The 17,337-nt window shown below is 50.9% G+C and overlaps 1 long non-coding RNA gene across 3 annotated transcripts, besides 6 other annotated features; it reads left to right on the plus strand.

Moving 5' to 3' along the window:
* The first annotated feature begins 1,734 nt into the window (after positions 1 to 1,734).
* LOC105370969 (uncharacterized) lies at positions 1,735 to 15,638 on the plus strand. Of its 3 annotated transcripts, none has more exons than XR_932610.3 (3): positions 1,735 to 1,909; positions 3,163 to 3,293; positions 14,751 to 15,638. It is a non-coding gene; the product is annotated as an uncharacterized LOC105370969 (long non-coding RNA). The 3 variants fall into 3 exon arrangements; XR_932609.3 differs by lacking the exon at positions 14,751 to 15,638 and adding an exon at positions 5,402 to 5,785; XR_001751655.2 differs by lacking the exon at positions 14,751 to 15,638 and having other exon boundaries at positions 3,163 to 3,389.
* Positions 2,348 to 3,002: an enhancer, noted in NCBI's record as "H3K27ac-H3K4me1 hESC enhancer chr15:91383569-91384223 (GRCh37/hg19 assembly coordinates)". NCBI's record gives its function as "activates a minimal SCP1, AML or CMV promoter by ChIP-STARR-seq in primed H9 embryonic stem cells {active_cell/tissue: H9 hESC(primed)}" and the evidence as "EXISTENCE:reporter gene assay evidence [ECO:0000049][PMID:30033119]".
* Positions 3,028 to 3,322: an enhancer, noted in NCBI's record as "tiled region #4312; K562 Activating DNase matched - State 5:Enh". NCBI's record gives its function as "activates a minimal TATA promoter and a strong SV40 promoter by Sharpr-MPRA in K562 cells {active_cell/tissue: K562}" and the evidence as "EXISTENCE:reporter gene assay evidence [ECO:0000049][PMID:27701403]".
* Positions 6,848 to 7,464: an enhancer, noted in NCBI's record as "H3K27ac-H3K4me1 hESC enhancer chr15:91388069-91388685 (GRCh37/hg19 assembly coordinates)". NCBI's record gives its function as "activates a minimal SCP1, AML or CMV promoter by ChIP-STARR-seq in naive H9 embryonic stem cells {active_cell/tissue: H9 hESC(naive)}" and the evidence as "EXISTENCE:reporter gene assay evidence [ECO:0000049][PMID:30033119]".
* Positions 7,222 to 7,341: an enhancer, noted in NCBI's record as "active region_10091". NCBI's record gives its function as "activates an Ori minimal core promoter by ATAC-STARR-seq in GM12878 lymphoblastoid cells {active_cell/tissue: GM12878}" and the evidence as "EXISTENCE:reporter gene assay evidence [ECO:0000049][PMID:35858748]".
* Positions 14,756 to 14,845: an enhancer, noted in NCBI's record as "active region_10092". NCBI's record gives its function as "activates an Ori minimal core promoter by ATAC-STARR-seq in GM12878 lymphoblastoid cells {active_cell/tissue: GM12878}" and the evidence as "EXISTENCE:reporter gene assay evidence [ECO:0000049][PMID:35858748]".
* Positions 14,856 to 14,905: an enhancer, noted in NCBI's record as "active region_10093". NCBI's record gives its function as "activates an Ori minimal core promoter by ATAC-STARR-seq in GM12878 lymphoblastoid cells {active_cell/tissue: GM12878}" and the evidence as "EXISTENCE:reporter gene assay evidence [ECO:0000049][PMID:35858748]".
* Positions 15,639 to 17,337: the final 1,699 nt, after the last annotated feature.

Here is a 17,337-nt window from a genome sequence, read left to right on the forward strand (position 1 = left end):
CCTCCCAAAGTGCTGGGATTGCAGGCATGAGCCACCGCGCCCGGTTCAGCCCCCTTCTCTTTCAGCTCAGGCCCCCCTGCCCCTGCAGAGCCTTGGGAAGTGTCACCCCACACCAACTCCACCAGCTCCTACGAAAGCACCCCCAAATCATACCCTCTAGGCACCGCAGCAAAAGCAGCTTCAGGGCAATCCCCCAGCACAACCTCACCCCTTCCTGAGACTGGTGGGTGAGCTGAGGTCACCCGCCGCTGCCAGCAGGGCTGGGTAAATCTCGGAGCAGGCGGGGGCGAGGGCGGGGGCTGTCACCGCGGTGTTGCCTGACGCACCCTCCTCCCCAGCTCAGGAAATTGTGAGGTGAACTCTTCCCCTCCAGAGCGCTGTCTGCTGTGAAGGCGGCTCAGGCCCCCAACACACACATAGCAGGTGACAGGTAGGGCCCAAGCACTGGAGTCCCCGCTCCTCCCTGAAGACCTATCAGGGCATCTCTGGGACTGTGTTCCTGCTCTCCCTGCTCTGCACGCTCCCCCACCCTACAGTTCCCACGGGGCCAAACTTCGGTCAGAATCACCTTTATTGCACAGCCGCTCTGTACGCCAGGGGCTCATCACACATACAAGGTCGGTGGATTGTCCCCATCTTACAGATGAGGGAGCGGAGGCAGGGCGTGCAGAAGGGGCCACTCGTGGCCACGGAGCGGGGACTGGCAGGCCCATTGTCGTCAGCGGACTCCTCAGCCCCAGTGCCAGGCAAGGACTAGAGCCATGGAAAGCAGGGACGCTGAGTCCCTGGGGCGTTTGGGGCATCCCCAGCTGACGCATTTGTTGCAGCCTCTAGGGGCATGGAATAGGCAAAGTGCCCACATGGGGGTGCAAGAACTGATGCCCCCACCCCCCACTTTGTGAGTACACCCCATGGAACCTCGTTCTTTTTTTGAGACAGAGCCTCACTTTGTTACCCAGGCTGGAGTGCAGTGGCATGATCTTGGCTCACTGCAACCTCCGCCTCCTGGGTCCAAGCGATTCTCCTGCCTCAGCCTCCCAGGTAGCTGGGATTACAGGCATGCACCACCACGCCCAGCTAATTTTTGTATTTTTCGTAGAGATGGGGTTTCTCCGTGTTGGCCAGGCTGGTCTCAAACTCTTGACCTCAGGTGATCTGCCTGCCTCAGCTTCCCCAAGTGCTGGGATTACAGACATGAGCCACTGCACCCAGCCCCAAACCTCATTCTTTTTATGGGGTCATTCTTTGTATGGACGTCCAGAATCACCAATCCCCTACTGTTGGACATGCAGGTTATTTCTAGTCTTTTGCTAAGACAAGCAGTGTTGTGATGACTACACTATCCTACATCCCTTGGCATGTGGGTGTGTGTAGGATAAATGTTCTGGGCACCAGGCTCCAGCAGGCCCCACGAACAGGACTCTGGGCCTTATGCCAGGAGGGGGAAGATTCAAAGAGGGCCCCTCACCTGGGTCTGACCCAAACCCACACCAAAGCCAGCAGGTCATCCAGAGCTGATTCCCTGGGAAGCCTGCCCAGGAACCACCGTCCGTCGGGCTTTCTTATTGTAAGAGCTTTTTTTTTTTTTTCCTCCTTTGGCAGAGCACAGCGCTGGGCTCCAGCCCTGATGCAGAGGTACAAAGCTCGTCTGGGCAGATTGTTATGCAAATCAAAAGAGGAAGCAGAGCTAGGGGAGCCGAGGAGCTCCTGCTGGGCTCTGCCAGGGAAGAAGCCGCAGTAGGAGCCCCTACGTAGGCCCTGCAAGAGGCCTGGCGTTCAGGAAAGGGCCCGCTGACCATCCAGTGCAGGGAAAGGAGTCCAGCTCTGGCCTCTGCCCCTCAGCTCCACCTCCTGCATTCCTAGGAGTTCTCCAGAGGATCTGATGGGAGCTCAGAACCGGTCCCAACAGGTACTGTGACGCGATGGCCATTTTCCTTCCCTTTACCACTGTGCCCCCCTCCCCCCACTGCAGGGACGTCCCCTGGGGCGTCTCTGTGCCCATGCCCCATTGGGCGCCTCCTCTCAGCCCAGCCCCCTCCACACTGTATTGTCTCCTTAGCCGTGAGCTCCATGAGAGCAGGGTGTGCCCAGGTCACTGTTGTCTCCCCAGTGCCCGGCACAGTGCCTGGCACATCATAGATGCCCCGTGCTCCTACACCAACGAACTCCCCTGACAGCACCACATCCACGGGGAGCTAGGCCTCAGGGAACAAAGTGGTGCCTGGCTGAGGCACCCACGCAGGGCCTGTTCTTTTGTTTGAGACGGAGTCTCACTCGTTACCCAGCCCAGATTGCAGTGGCGCAATCTCGGCTCACTGCAACCTCCACCTCCTGGGTTCAAATGATTCTCCTGCCTCAGCCTCCTGAGTAGTTGCGATTATAGGCGTGCACCACCATGCCCGACTAATTTTTGTATTTTTAGTAGAGACGGCTTCACATGTTGGCCAGGCAAGTCTCAAACTCCTGACCTCAGGTGATCCACCCACCTTGGCCTCCCAAAGTGCTGGAATTACAGGTGTGAGCCACCGTGCCTGGCTCGGACTTGTTCTTGAGGATGACGGAACGGGGGTTTTGCTGTTAGGCCAGCCAACAAAATGGACAAGAAAGACGGGGGAGAGAAGTGAGATCCTTCCCGCCAGAGCCTGAGGCTAATGCAGGCCGTGCTGGGCCTCATGCTCCAGGCCAGCCTGGAAGAGCCCAAAGCCAGTTTCCTTCCAATGCTGCATATATTACCCAGCATTCTTAGATGGAAAGTCCAGTTTCTTTTGCTTTTTTTGTGTATGCACTTCAGGAATTTTTTAAGCTAATTGACTGAAGGGCTCATGTGCCTAGGAATAGCAATCCTAATAAGCTTTTGCGGAATCTCCCTGGTTTCAGACCAAGGCTGTGAATGTCCCAACTCACTTCTGTTCTTGGTGAGTTTTGCTTGTGTTTGTGAACGAGGTGAATTCATTAAACACAGCAGTGGCCCCTGCCCAGTGCTGGCTCCCTACAATGACCACTTCAATTGCACTGACCCAGATGCAATGGATTCCACCGCAGAAGTGCATTTAACTCAAATGCAAACATAACTGGAAGGTGACACAAGTCCTGAAATCCCTGGTTGTGCAGACTCATCAGTGCCTAGCCACTGGTCACTAGCATGTTTTCATTTTTCTCCAGCTCCCTCCACCCTTCATGAACGGGGGCTGGAAAATGTGGTCTGCTCTGATAAGGATTTGCGTCAGGCTACTGGCTACTCAGCAGCCGAGAAGAGCAAGCCTCCAGGCCTCTGCACGCGTGCCTTCTGCCCGGTGAGCCTCTCACTATCGTCCTTCTAAAAGACACTTCAAAAAGAGGCAAAATCATGCCTTCCATACATATATTAAAAAAAGAATATGTGTCAAATATTTTATTCTACTCCTAAACCAATTTAAGGAAACCAGGCAGATGTTACAACTGGTTCAAATGAAATCCTAAGAACAGACACATTTAATAATCAGGAATATGGAAAAGAACATGCAAATGGGAGCTGGGCACAGCGGCTCATGCCTGTAATTCCAGCACTTTGGGAGGCCGAGGTGGGTGGATCACCTGAGGTCAGGAGTTCGAGACCAGCCTGGCCAACATGGTAAAACCCCGTCTCCACCAAAAAAAAAAAAAAAAAAAAAAAAATTAGCTGGGCATGGTGGCACATGCCTGTAATCCCAGCTACTCAGTAGGCTGAGGCAGGAGAATCGCTTGAGCCTGGGAGGTGGAGGTTGCAGTGAGCCAAGATTGCACTATTGCATTCCAGCCTAGGCAACAAAAGCAAAACTCCATCTCAAAAAACAACAACAACAACAACAAAAACACGCAAATGGGGGCAAAGCTAGGGAGGGGAGAGTCAACTGGTCTCCTACTGGAGTTTGGAATCTGCAGGTCTGTAGAGAAGCAAAATTTTGCATTGCTATCACTAACCTACAAGTTAAAGAGTTGTAAGTAGTCTTCATAGAATGGAGTCAGATAATCCAAGGGAGGTCCTGGAGAGTCTAGATAATGCACAGTTTTTCAAAGATGTACAACTGTTTTCAAAGATGTACAAATATGTACAACTCTGACCACTGATGTCCTTCACCTGGCCAACTTAACCCACACCTCCTCCAGGAAGCCATCCCTGATGCCCAAGACTGGGTTAAGTGCCAGCCCCTGGGCTCCCTCAGTGCCTTGAATTTCTGATCACACTGTTCCGTCTCCCTCATCAGATCTATGAGATTTTTTTTTTTTTTAAGACAGAGTCTCACTGTGTCACCCAGGCTGGAGTGCAGTGGCACAGTCATAGCTCACTACAGCCTCAAACTCCTGGGCTCAAGGGATCTTTAGCCTCCCCAGTAGCTGGGACTACAAGTGTATGCCACCATGCCCAGCTAATTTTTAAGTTGTCAAGACAAGGTCTTGCTTTGTTACCCAGGCTGGTCTCGAACTCCTGGGCTCAAGCAATTTGCCTGCCTCGGCCTCCCAAAGTGCTGGGATTACAGGTGTGAGCCACTGTGCCTGGCCTGATCTATGAGATCCTTAAAACAGAAGCTGTGTCTTACCCACCTCTCACTGTGCCTTTGAGAATCAAGGGACACGTGGTTGAATGAATGAATGAATGAATGAGAGAAAAAATGAACAATACAGGGTCCTAAGCCAAAGTGGTCCACAGGGCCCCCATAAACCCGTAAAAGACTGACGAGACAGCTGTTGAAGGTCTGCATGTGTACCTGTGAACACAGACAGGCTTCAATCTCAATCTTAATAAGGGCTCCTCAGAAATGAAGCTCAGGAAGCAAACAAACATGGGAAATGATGGCTAAACACAAACAGGTGGGTTTTGCTTTTATTTCCTTTTAACCATAGGACTCCTGAGTCCTTGTAATATATAGTAAAGAGTCTTGCTCTGTTGCCCAGGCTGGAGTGCAGTGGCACAATCACAGCTCACTGCAGCCTCGAACTCCTGGGCTCGAGCCATCCTCCTGCTTCAGGCTCCTGAGTAGCTGCGACTACAGGTGTGCACCACCACACCCAGCTAATTTTTAAAAAATTCTTTTAAGAGACAAGATCTCACTATGTTGCCCAAGCTGGTCTCAAACTCCTGGGCACAAGCAATCCTCCCACCTCAGCCTCCCGAGTAGCTGGGACCACAGACACACGCCACCATGCCTGGCTAATTTTTGTATTTTTTGTTGAGACAGGGTCTCTCTATGTTGCACAGGCTAGTCTCGAACTCCTGGGTTCAAGCGATCCTCCTGCCTCATCCTCCCAAAGTGCCGGGATTACAGGCGTGAGCCACTGTGCCCAGGCTAACAGCCTTTAATATATTAAAGTACCCCAGGAGGGAGAATGCAATGTTTCCATGTTTTCCTTATCTGACTATAAAACAATTTTTTTAATGGACCAGAGACGATGGATTCATGGAGTTACTGTGAGGAAGACACTCAGCATCGTGCCTGGTATCGTGTGTGCTTCATAAACGCCAGCCATAGCATGATTCTTTATAAAGGCACCAGCTGCATTTATGGAGTAAATGCCTTTCTTGTGTCATCTCGCTTGACTGGCAAAGCCATAAGGCCAGGTGAGGAAGATGAGGCAGGGGATGAAGAGGATATAACACGTAGGAGGTGAAGTCACTAACCCAAATCCTTGCAGCCGGCAAGTGGTCAGAATTCTTGGACCAGGTGTGAGGCCTTAAGAGAACAAGCTAGCCCAGGGCTTGGCATGAAGTAGGTGCTTAATAAAGATTGGTTTTAGCCAGGCGCAGTGGCTCATGCCTGTAATCTCAGCACTTTGGGAGGCTGAAGCAGGAGGATCACTTGAGCCCAGGAGTTCCAGACCAGCCTGGGCAACACGGCTAATCCCTGTCTCTACTAAAAATACAAAAAGATTAGTCGGGTGTGGTGGCGCGTGCCTGTAATCCCAGCTACTCGGGAGGCTGAGGCAGGAGAATAGCTTGAACCTGGGAGGTAGACTTTGCAATGAGCCAAGATCGCACCACTGCACTCCAGCCGGGGCAACAGAGCAAGACTGTCTCAAAAAAAAAAAAAAAAAAAAAAAAAAAAAGACTGGTTTCTACCATGCCTCCCTCCTCCCTCCTTCCCATTCAGCCCAGAGGTTCTGGCAGGGCAGACAGAGCTCCAGGCCAAGGACCCCCAGGTGGATGTACAGAGCAGACCCAGGCTGAGCCCAATCTTTCCACCCTGCAGTTCAGCTCCTCCCTCCCCTTTCTCTTCCCAGTCTTCCTGAACCTGCACCTGGCCTCTCTGCACACCCCCGCGTTATTTGGGGATGTAAGAACTCAGGGTTCCCTCCCTTATTACTTCTCCTTGTCCATCCTGGTGATAGTGCTTGACTCTCAACACACAAAAGGGGCTTTAAAATGATCCTTTGAAAAAATAATTTTTTTGCTGGGCACAGTGGCTCACGCCTGTAATCCCAGCTCTTTGGGAGGCCAAGACAGGCGGATCACCTGAGGTTGGGAGTTCAAGACCAGCCTGATCAACATGGAGAAACCCCGTCTCTACTAAAAATACAAAATTAGCTGAGCGTGGTGGTGCAGCTCTTCGGGAGGCTGAGGCAGGAGAATCGCTTGAACCCAGGAGGCGGAGGTTGCAGTGAGCCGAGATCATGCCATTGTACTCCAGCCTGGGCAACAAGAGTGAAACTCTGTCTCAAAAAAAAAAAAAAAAAAGAAAGAAAAAAAAGAAAAAATAATTCTTTAAAACTCTTTTTTAGAGACAGGGTCTCACTCCATCACCCAGGCTGGATGTCATCATAGTTCACTGTAACCTTGAACTTCTGGGCTCAAGCAATTCTCCAGCCTCAGACTCCTGAGTAGCTGGGACCACAGGCGCATACCACCACGCCTGGCTAAAACTGGTTCCTTTTTTTTTTTTTTGAGACAGTGCCTTGTCCTGTCCCCCGGGCTGCAGTGCAATGGCACAAACACTGCCCACTGCAGCCTTGACCTCCTGGGCTCAAGCGATCTTCCCCTACAGCCTCCTGAGTAGCTGGCACCACAGGCACGTGCCACCATGCCTGGCCAAATTTTTTTTTTTTTTTTGTAGGGATGGAGTCTCACTATGTTGCCCAAGCTGGTCTCAATCTCCTGGGCTCAAGCCATCCTCCTGCCTTGGCCTCCCAAAGTGCTGGGATTAAAGGCATGAGCCACCGTGCCCAGCCTAAAAATGGTCTTGATTCAATGAGTGAGTAAATGAAGCCTGTGCCCAGGGCCTGCCAGGCCCCCTGGGGCTGCCCACAGGGTAAACACAGACCCACACGGAGCCCCACTCCAGGCCTGGTCGAAAAAAATGCTGCTCCAGCTGAAGGCTTTCTCAGAGAAATGACTCAGCCTGAGCACTCAGATGCAACTTCCACGTTTTATGGACTGAAGGTGCTTTCATAACAGCTGGTGATGATGAGCCAGAGGCGGGCTATAAACAGAGCGGTGATCTGGTCCTGAACACTCAGGTCTCAGCCCCCACCCACAAGCAGGGCCTCTGAGGCTGTGGCTTCTCCACACTGGTGCTGCTTTGTGCTGGCAAATAGCACAGGCCCCCAAAATGACCTGGAGGCTCCTTAACTGAGGAGGCAGATGAGTGACAGGGCCAGACCTGCAGCCTCAAGGGCCTGGCTGTGCCCTCCCTAGCTCCCTTGGGCCTGGGAGCCTTCCATGAACCTGTGGCCTGGGACCAAGAGCATGGGGGGCCTAGTGATGTGCCTGGTGGGGAGCGGGGAGTGCTGCCAGCAATGACAGTCCCGCTGGGGGGACGTGGTACAGACTCACTGAGACACAGAACCCTGTGAGCAAGGGGGGTTCACTTAATCCTCCCTGAGGACTCAGACAGGTGGGCTGCAGGCAGTGGGGTAGCCTTGCCTCTCACTCATGCCCACCCACCCATTTGCTCATTCATTCAGACAAGCGTGGATTGAGTATTTTCTTTTTTTTTCTTTTAAAGACAGGGTTTTGCTCTGTCGCTCAGGCTGAAGTGCAGTGGCATGATCTCAGCTCACTACAGCCTCATCCTCCCAGGCTCAACCGATCCTCCTGCCTCGGCCTCTCAAAGTATTGGGATTACAGGCGTGGCCCACGCCTGGTGAATTGAGCACTTTCTTTCTTTTTCTTTTTTTTTTTTTTTTTTTTGAGATGGAGTCTCACTCTGTCATCCAGGCTGGAGTGCAGTGGCATGACCTCGGCTCACTGCAACTTCTGCCTCCCGGGTTCAAGTGATTCTCCTGCCTCAGTCTCCCAAGTAGCTGGGATTACAGGCACCCACCACCACGCCCGGCTAGTTTTGTATTTTTAGTAGAGATGGGGTTTTACCATGTTGGCCAGGCTGTTCTTGAACTCCTGACCTCAGGTGATCCATCCGCCTCGGCCTCCCAAAGTGTTAGGATTACAGGCGTGGGCCACTGCGCCTGGCAAATTGAGCACTTTCTTTTTTTTTTTTTGAGACCGGGTCTTGCTCTGTCACCAGGCTGGAGTGCAGTGGCCCAATCTCAGCTCACTGCAACCTCCACCTCCCAGGTTCAAGCGATTATCCTGCCTCAGCCTCCAAGTAGCTGGGATTACAGGCACGCGCCATCACGCCCGGCTAATTTTTTGTATTTTAGTAGAGACAGGGTTTCACCGTGTTAGCCAAGATGGTCTCGATCTCCTAACCTCATGATCCACCCACCTTGGCCTCCCAAAGTGCTGGGATTACAGATGTGAGCCACCGTGCCCTGCCAAATCGAGCACTTTCTAAGTGCCCACCTGTCAGCGTCACCCCAGGCTTTCCCATCTCAGCCCGTGGCTCCACTCTCCTCTAGCTACTTTGGCCAAAAACCACAGAGTCATCTTGGATCCCAATTTTTGCTTCACCCCCACATCCAATCTTTCGGCGAGTCCCGTCTGCTTTACCTCGGCACATCATCAGTGCGCTCAGTGCACTTCCCAGCCACCTCCCACGCTGGGCTGCTAACCTTCTGCCAGGTCACCATAGCTACCACCAGCTCCTCCTGACCCTTTGGCCTTGGTCTCTAAAACCCATTCTCCTCTCATCAGAGTGACCTCATCCCAGCATCATTCTGACCATTTCTCATCTTAAAGTCCTCAAAAGGGTCCTATCAGATATTAACAATTTTTAAAGAAATTAAGACAGAATGGCTTTGGCATCTGGCTATTAAAAAAAAAGGGTAGGGGGGGCCGAGTGCGGTGGCTCATGCTTGTAAACCCAGAACTTTGGGAGGCCAAGGTGGGAGGGTCCCTTGAGCCCAGGAGTTCGAGACCAGCCTGGGCAACACAGAGAGACCCTGTCTTTACAAAAACAAAATTAGCTGGGTGTGGCGGCACATGCCTGTAGTCCTAGCTACTTGGGAGACTGAGGTGGCAGGATCACTTGAGCCTGGGAGGTTGAGGCCGCGGTGAGCTGAGATCATGCCACTGCACTCCGGCCTGGGTGACAGAGTGAGAGCCCATTTAAAAATGAAAAATAAAGGGAAAAAAAAGGACAGAACAGGAGTCCCGGAGACAGAACCTTGCATAAATGAGAATTTGCCGTATGACAGAGAAGCATCACCAACCAGTGGGGAAAAGATAGACTCTTTTATAAATGGCGTTGGGACAAGTGGTGATCCATATGGGAAAGTAAAATTAGATCCCCACCTAACACCACACACACAACTCCAGGTGGATTCAGGACTTACATGTGAATAACAAAATTTTAACACATTTAGAAGAAAATATAGAAGAATATTTTTATGACCTCAGGGTAAGGAACAATTTCTTTTTTAAATAAACTTTTTGTTTGATTACAACATGCATAGTGTACAAGTCATAAGGGTGCCGCTTGATGAAATTTCACAGTGACCCCAGCTGTGTAGCCAGCATCCAGATCAACAAGCGGGATGTAAGGCCAGGCACGGTGGCTCACTCCTGTAATCCCAACACTTTGGGAGGCCGAGGAGGGCGGATCAGAAGGTCAGGAGTTTGAGACCAGCCTGGCCAATATGGTGAAACCCCGTCTCAACTAAAAATACAAAAATTAGCCCGGCATGGTGGCACACACCTGTAGTCCCAGCTACTTGGGAGGCTGTGGCAGAAGAATCGCTTGAACCCTGGAGGCGGAGTTTGCAGTAACCCGAGATCGTGCCACTGCACTCCAGCCTGGCGAAAGGGCGAGAATCCGTCTAAAAAAAATAAAAATAAAAAACACAACAACAAATGGGACATAGCCAGTGCCTTCCAAAGCCCCCACGTGCCTCTTTTTTTCTTTCTTTTTTTTTTTTGTTTGAGACGGAGTCTTGCTCTGTTGCCCAGGCTGGAGTGCAGTGGCATGATCTCGGCTCACTGAAACCTCCGCCTCCTGGATTCAAGCAACTCTCCTGCCTCAGCCTCCTGAGTAGCTGGGACTACAGGCACACACCACCATTCCTGGCTAATTCTTTTTTTATTTTTAGTAGAGACGGGGTTTCACCAGTTGGCCAGGATGGTCTCGATCTCCTGACCTCATGATCCACCCGCCTCAGCCTCCCAAAATGCTGGGATTGCAGGTGTGAGCCACCACACTCAGCCTTCTTTTTTTTTTTTTTTTTTTTTTTTTGAGACGGAGTTTTGCTCTTGTTGCCCAGGTTGGAGTGCAATGGCACGGTCTCGGCTCACCGCAGCCTCCCCTTCCTGGGTTCAAGTGATTCTCCTGCCTCAGCCTCCCCAGTAGCTGGGATTACAGGCATCCGCCACCACACTCGGCTAATTTTTTTTTTTTTTCTTTAGTAGAGACAGGGTTTCTCCATGTTGGTCAGGCTGGTCTCAAACTCCCGATGCCAGGTGATCCTCCCGCCTCAGCCTCCCATAGTGTTGGGATTACAGGCGTGAGCCACCGTGCCCAGCCTTTTTTTTCTTTTCTTTTCTTTTTTTTGAGATGGAGTCTCACTCTGTTGCCCAGGCTGGAGTGCAATGCAATGGCGTGATCTCAGCTCACTACAACCTCTACCTCCCGGATTCAAGCGATTCTCCTGTCTCAGTCTCCCAAGTAGCTGGGATTACAGGTGTGTTCTACCACGCCCAGATAATTTTTGTATTTTTAGTAGAGACAGGGTTTCACCATGTTGGCCAGGCTGGTCTTGAACTCCTGACATCAAGTGATCCACCTGCCTCAGCCTCCCAGAGTGCTGAGATTACAGGTGTGAGCCACGGCACCCAGCTCCTCATGCCTTTTGACAGGAAAGAGTATCTTAGGCACAAAAGGTATCAGCTACAATGGAAAAAAATTGATGAGTCTGATGATATTGACATTTAAATCTTAAGTTCAACAAAAAAAAATGCCACAAGATTAAAGGATACGTACAGCTGAGCACCATGACTCGTATCTGTAATCCCAGCATTTTGGGAGACTGAGGCAGGCAGATTACTTGAGCTGAGGAGTTTGAGACCAGCCTGGGCAACATGGCAAAACTCTGTCTCTACAAAAAATACAAAAATTAGCCAGGTGTGGTGGCGTATGCCTGTAGTCCCAGTTACTTGGAAGGCTGAGGTGGGAGAATCACTGGAACCTGGGAGGCAGAGGTTGCAGTGAGCTGAGACTGGGCCACTGCACTCCAGCCTGAGTGACAGAGCAAGACCCTGTCTCAAAAATAAATAAATAAATAAATAAATAAATAAATAAATAACAGATATGCACAATATGGAGGAAATATCTGCAATATAATCAGCAAATTGGTATCCAGAATATGTAAAGGTCTTCTGCAAATCAAGAAGAGAGACAACCAACCCAACAGAAAATTTGGCACAGGTTATGAACCTTATAGGAAAAAAAAGCCTAGATGGCCAATAATCATATGAAAAAGAGGCTCTGGGCTGGGCATGGTGGTTCATGTCAATAATCCCAGCAATTTGGGAGGCCAAGGTGGGAGGATCACTTGAGTCCAGGAGCTGGAGAACAGACTGGGCAGCAAAGTGAGACCTCGTCTCTACAGAAAACAAAATAATTAGCCGGGCATGATGGTGCATGCCTGTAGTCCCAGCTACTCTGGAGGCTAAAGCAGGGGGATGGATTGAATCCAGCAGATGGAGGCTACAGTGACCTATGATCATGCCACTGCATTCCAGCTTGGGCAGCAGAGTGAGACCCTGCCTCAAAAACAGAAAAAGTCTCTGTCTCAATAGTATCAGAGACATGTAAATTTTTTTTTGAGATAGTCTCACCCTGTTGCCCAGGCTGGAGTGTACTGGTGCAGTCTCAGCTCACTGCAACCTCCACCTCCTGGGTTCAAGCAATTCTCCTGCCTCAGCCTCCCAAGTAGCTGGGATTACAGGTGTGCACCACCACGCCTGGCTAATTTTTGTATTTTTAGTAGAGACGAGGTTTTGCCATGTTGGCCAGGCTGGTCTCGAACTCCTGACCTCAAGTGATCCACCCACATTAGCCTCCCAAAGTGCTGGGATTACAGGCGTGAGCCACTGCGCCTGGCTGAGAAAGGTAAATTAAAACAACAAGGAGATATTATGTCTCACCCATCAGATAATTTAAAATGGAAGAAAACATAAAAGCTGATATTATTAAATGTAGACCCAAATGAGACTCCTTAAAAACACCAGCTCTGGGCTGGGCGCGGCGGCTCATGCCTGTAATCCCAACACTTTGGGAGGCCGATATGGGTGGATCACGAGGTCAGGAGATGGAGACCATCCTGGCTAACACCGTGAAACCACATCTCTCCTAAAACTACAAAAAATTAGCCCAGCATGGTGGCACGCACCTGTAGTCCCAGCTACTCGGGAGGCTGAGGCAGGAGAATCACTTAAACCGCAGAGGCAGAGGTTGCAGTGAGCCAAAATCACATCATTGCACTCCAGGCTGGGCAAAAGAGCAAGACTTCGTCTCAAACAAACAGACAAACAAATAAAAACCCACCAGCTCTGGAGAAGATTGGTAAAGCCACTTGGAAGTGACACAAAATGGCAGCTTGAAGGTCAGGTCAAGATCAGGGTGAAGGTGAGAACATCTGTGAGCATTCCTCTTCCAGGCAGAGACTCTACAGAAGCTCTATGAGCATCCCAGGAGGAAGAAATTGGAAACGTCATCAAGGAGATACACAAGGTATGATACACTCATACAATGGAAAATGGCCGGACAAATGAAAGAAACAACATCAAAGTGAATTATCATAAGATACACCAAGCAGGGCCAGGGTGGGGCCAGGTCCACCTCTCCTGTTGCCCAATCTTGAAGGTGGCAGAGGACCTTTGAGGCACCTTGCTGGCCCACTGAGGAGCTGTGGCCGAGGCACACGCCCATCAGGGCTGACTCCTTGCTGGGAACTGGGTCAGGTGGATGGACGTGGTGACGAGCAACAGTGAGGTTTCCCCCACATCCTTTCACCTGCCCTGCTGCGTCTGCTGCTGAGTCAGGATCCATCTGGGGAGCCACCGTGGGACACTCTCCCCTATGGGAGAGTGGTAAGGTTCTGGAGTAACACATGGGACTGGAAATGTTTCTGTGGCCATTTTTATTTTTATTTATTTTTTTAAGACAGAGTCTTGCTCTGTTGCTCAGGCTGGAGTGCAGTACTGTGATCTCAGCTCACTGCAACCTCTGCCTGTGGGAGTTCAAGCAATTCTTCTGTCTCAGCCTCCCAAGTAGCTGGGATTACAAGCACCCACCACCACGCCTGGCTAATTTGTGTATTTTTAGTAGAGATGGGGTTTCACCATGTTGGCTAGTCTGGTGTCAAACTCCCGACCTCAGGTGATCTGCCCATCTGAGACTCCCAAAGTGCTGGGATTACAGAGCTGAGTGACAGAGTGAGACTCTGTCAAAAAAAAAAAAAAAAAAAAAGAAAGGAAGGAAGAGAAATAGAAAGAAAGAAAGAAAAAGAAAGAAAGAAAGAAAAGAAAGAAAGAAAAGCTGGAATGAGTCAGGGCAGAATCATAGAATGTCTGGGTGTGAATCCTGGCTTCCCTCCTTTCCAGTGAAGCAACCTTGGGCGAGTGGCTTGACCACTCTGTGCCTGTTTCCTCACCTGTAGCAGTTAGGAATGCATTTGGCTGCAGGTAACTGCAGAGCTCCAACCTCCCGCAAAACAGCAGCTTTGTTCATTTCATCTTGAAAAGCTCAGCCATGTGCGGTTGCTGGTTTTGGTTCAGGAGGTCAGAGAGAGGATTCATCATCTTTGTCTTTTTTCTTAGAAAAACCTGTTTACCTGAAGACTTCCCCTCAATGTCACTGCCAAAGGGAAGCCTTGCAACCAGGCTGCCGGTTGCACGGATCCAACATTTGCTCTGTGGGTCTCAGCCTGGGTCAAACTCACACCTCTAAGGGATGTTTGGAAATGTGTGGAGTCATTTTGGGTTGTCACAATGATTTAGCTGCAATGCATAGAACAGTCTTATATGAAGAATTGTCCTGCCCTAGAAGAAAAAAAAATGTCCCACCCAAATGCCAAAATGTCTGTGCCCCACTGAAAAGCTCCAGCCTCCGTAAGTGGAGGCAGTGAGTAGGGAAGGGCTGAGACAGATGCAGGTCAGGCACCAGCCCTCACTCCTGCCACATCCAGCTTGTAGGGCTGTGCCAGGGAGCATGGGGATGTGCCCAGGCCAGCGCCTGGCATGAGCACATGTTGGGGTCCCCAAGGCGTGCCTAAGGGGCGCTTTGGCCAGAGCACTGTGGCAAGGTCTGAGACTGGCAAAGAATGACCCCGGGGACTGAGCAGTGGATGCAGGTGGAAACAGAGTGCCTCTGATTTTCCTCTGACCTTCTTGCCTCTCTTCAAAGCCTGCCTGGCCCTCGGAGGCTGCCCAGTGCATCATAGTACATCCCACGGTGGCTCCCCAGATGGATTCTGACTCAGCAGCAGACGCAGCAGGGCAGGCAAAAGGATGTGGGGGAAACCTCACTGTGGCTCATCACCACGTCCATCTGCCTCACCAAGTTCCCAGCAAGGAGTCGGCCCTGATGGGTGTATTCCTCAGCCACAGCTCCTCAGTGGGCCAGCAAGGTGACTCGAAGGGCCTCTGCCACCTCTAAGATTGGGGAACAGGAAAGATGGACCTGGCCCCACCCCAGCCTGCGGGTCACCACCCATGGCGGGACAAGTGAGAAAAGTTGGCCTTGCTCACCGCTGGAGCCCAAACCACAGGTTTCATTTCCCCTTGATAAAGACAATGTTTGCTATTGTTGCATCTGATGGTAAAAGCAAGTCATATTCACTATCAAAAAGTTTGAAAGGCGGCCGGGCACGGTGGCTCACACTTGTATTCCCAGCATTTTGGGAGGCCGAGGCAGGCGGATCACAAGGTCAAGAGATCGAGACCATCCTGTCCAACATGGTGAAACCCCATCTCTACTAAAAATACAAAAATTAGATGGGCATGGTGGCGTGCACCTGTAGTTCCAACTACTTGGGAGGCTGAGGCAAGAGAATCGCTTGAACCCGGGAGGCAGAGGTTGCTGTGAGCCCCAAGATTGCACCACTACACTCTAGCCTGGCAACAGAGCGAGACTCCGTCTCAAAAAACAAAAAAAAAAAGGAAAATAAGAATCCAGCCTCAAGCCTGTCACCCAGGAACAATCACTCTAGTTGGCTGGTGTATTTCCCTCCAGTCTTTTTTTCAGTGTATGTATATAAACTTTATTTATATATATTATTTTATAGCCAGCTGCTTTTTTTCTTTTAATTCTAAATGATGGGCTGTTTTTTGTTTTAAAACACTGTAGACCAGCCAAGTGTGGTGGCTCAAACCGGTAATCCCAGCACTTTTGGAGGCTGAGGTGGGCAGATCACTTGAGCCCAGGAATTCAAGACCAGCCTGGGCAACATGGCAAAACCATGTCTCTACCAAAAATAAAAAAATTAGCCAGGCATGGTTCCATGCACCTGTAGTCCCTGCAACTTGGGAGGCTGAGATGGGAGGATCACCTGAGCCCAGAGAGGTCGAGGCTACAGTGAGCCATGATCATGCCATCACACTCCAGCCTGGGTGACAAGAGTGAGACCCTGTCTCAAAAACAAACAAACAAACAAACAAAAAAAAACACAGGCTGGGCACAGTGGCTCATGCCTGTAATCCCAGCACTTCGGCAGGCCAAGGTAGGTGGATCACCTGAGGTCAGGAGCTCAAGACCAGCCTGGCCAACATGGCGAAACCCTGTCTCTACTAAAAATACAAAAATTAGCCGGGTGTGGTGGCACACGCCTGTAATCCCAGCTACTTGGGAGGCTGAGGCATGAGAATCGCTTGAACCCGGGAGGTGGAGCTTGCAGCGAGCTGAGATTGTGCCACTGCACTCCAGCCTGGGCGACAGAGCAAGACTGCATCTCAAAAGAACAAACAAAAACAAAAACCACTGTAGACCAAGCAAACTCAACTCTTCCTCCTCCCATGCAGTGCTCCCTCTGCCTGTTTCCCCACATCACCTGTGTGATGGGGAGTGGGGGGGCACACAGCGAGGCTGAGGACTCATGGAATGACCCTTGGGAAGCCAGAATGGGCACGGGTACACATTTCCAAGCAGGAGACTCACTGATCTACCCACCCCGGGTCCCCAACCACACTGGGAATCCCCTCCATGAACGGGAGGAGCCTCTATCACACACACACACACACACACACACACACACACACACACACACGGAGACCACAGAGAGAACATGGGCACCGTGGGCAACTGTTTGAAAATTTCTGAGCTGCTTCTCAGATAAAGAGAGCACTCTCATCTTCCTTGTCCTTCTCCAGAATCAGCAGAAATCAAGTTTCTCACCTTCCAAGCTCAGCCAAGAAATTTCAATTCCAGTGACGACAGAGCTGGTGTGGGGTGGATGGTTCCCATGGGAAGGTGTGGGTCACAGGCTGGGCTCTTAGTACTGGGAAAGTCCCTAGGCCAAGTCAGAATCCCAGGTGTCCTCCCTGAGCACCTGCTGTGTGCAGGATGCCATGCCAAACATTTTATGAATTAGTTCATCCCATTCTTGTGACACCTCAGCAGGGGAGGTATCAGTACCCCCATTTAATGGATGAAGAAATGGAGGCCCTGCAAAATTAAGCCACAGGCCAACTTCCTCATGGATGGATCAAGCATCTGAAGCCAAGAGAGTGGACATGGCCTGTCCAGACTGGGGACCAGCGCAAGGCAAGGTTTATCCTGCTGGGCCAGGCCCGGCTGCCTCTCTCAGAGGGCACTGGGGAGTTTGCCCTGGACACAGGCTAGGGGCAAAGGCTCACATGGACATGTCGAGTCAGCTGCCAGATCCTGGGCTCTAGGCCTCCCCAACATCTTCCCAATGCACCCAGCTGACTCCTGGAGTCCAGAAAGTCCAAACTGTAGAAGGTCACCCCAAGCGCCCTGGGACTTCGCACTCTGC

Source organism: Homo sapiens, chromosome 15 (genome assembly GCF_000001405.40).
Source record: "Homo sapiens chromosome 15, GRCh38.p14 Primary Assembly".
Taxonomy (NCBI): Eukaryota; Metazoa; Chordata; class Mammalia; order Primates; family Hominidae; genus Homo; species Homo sapiens.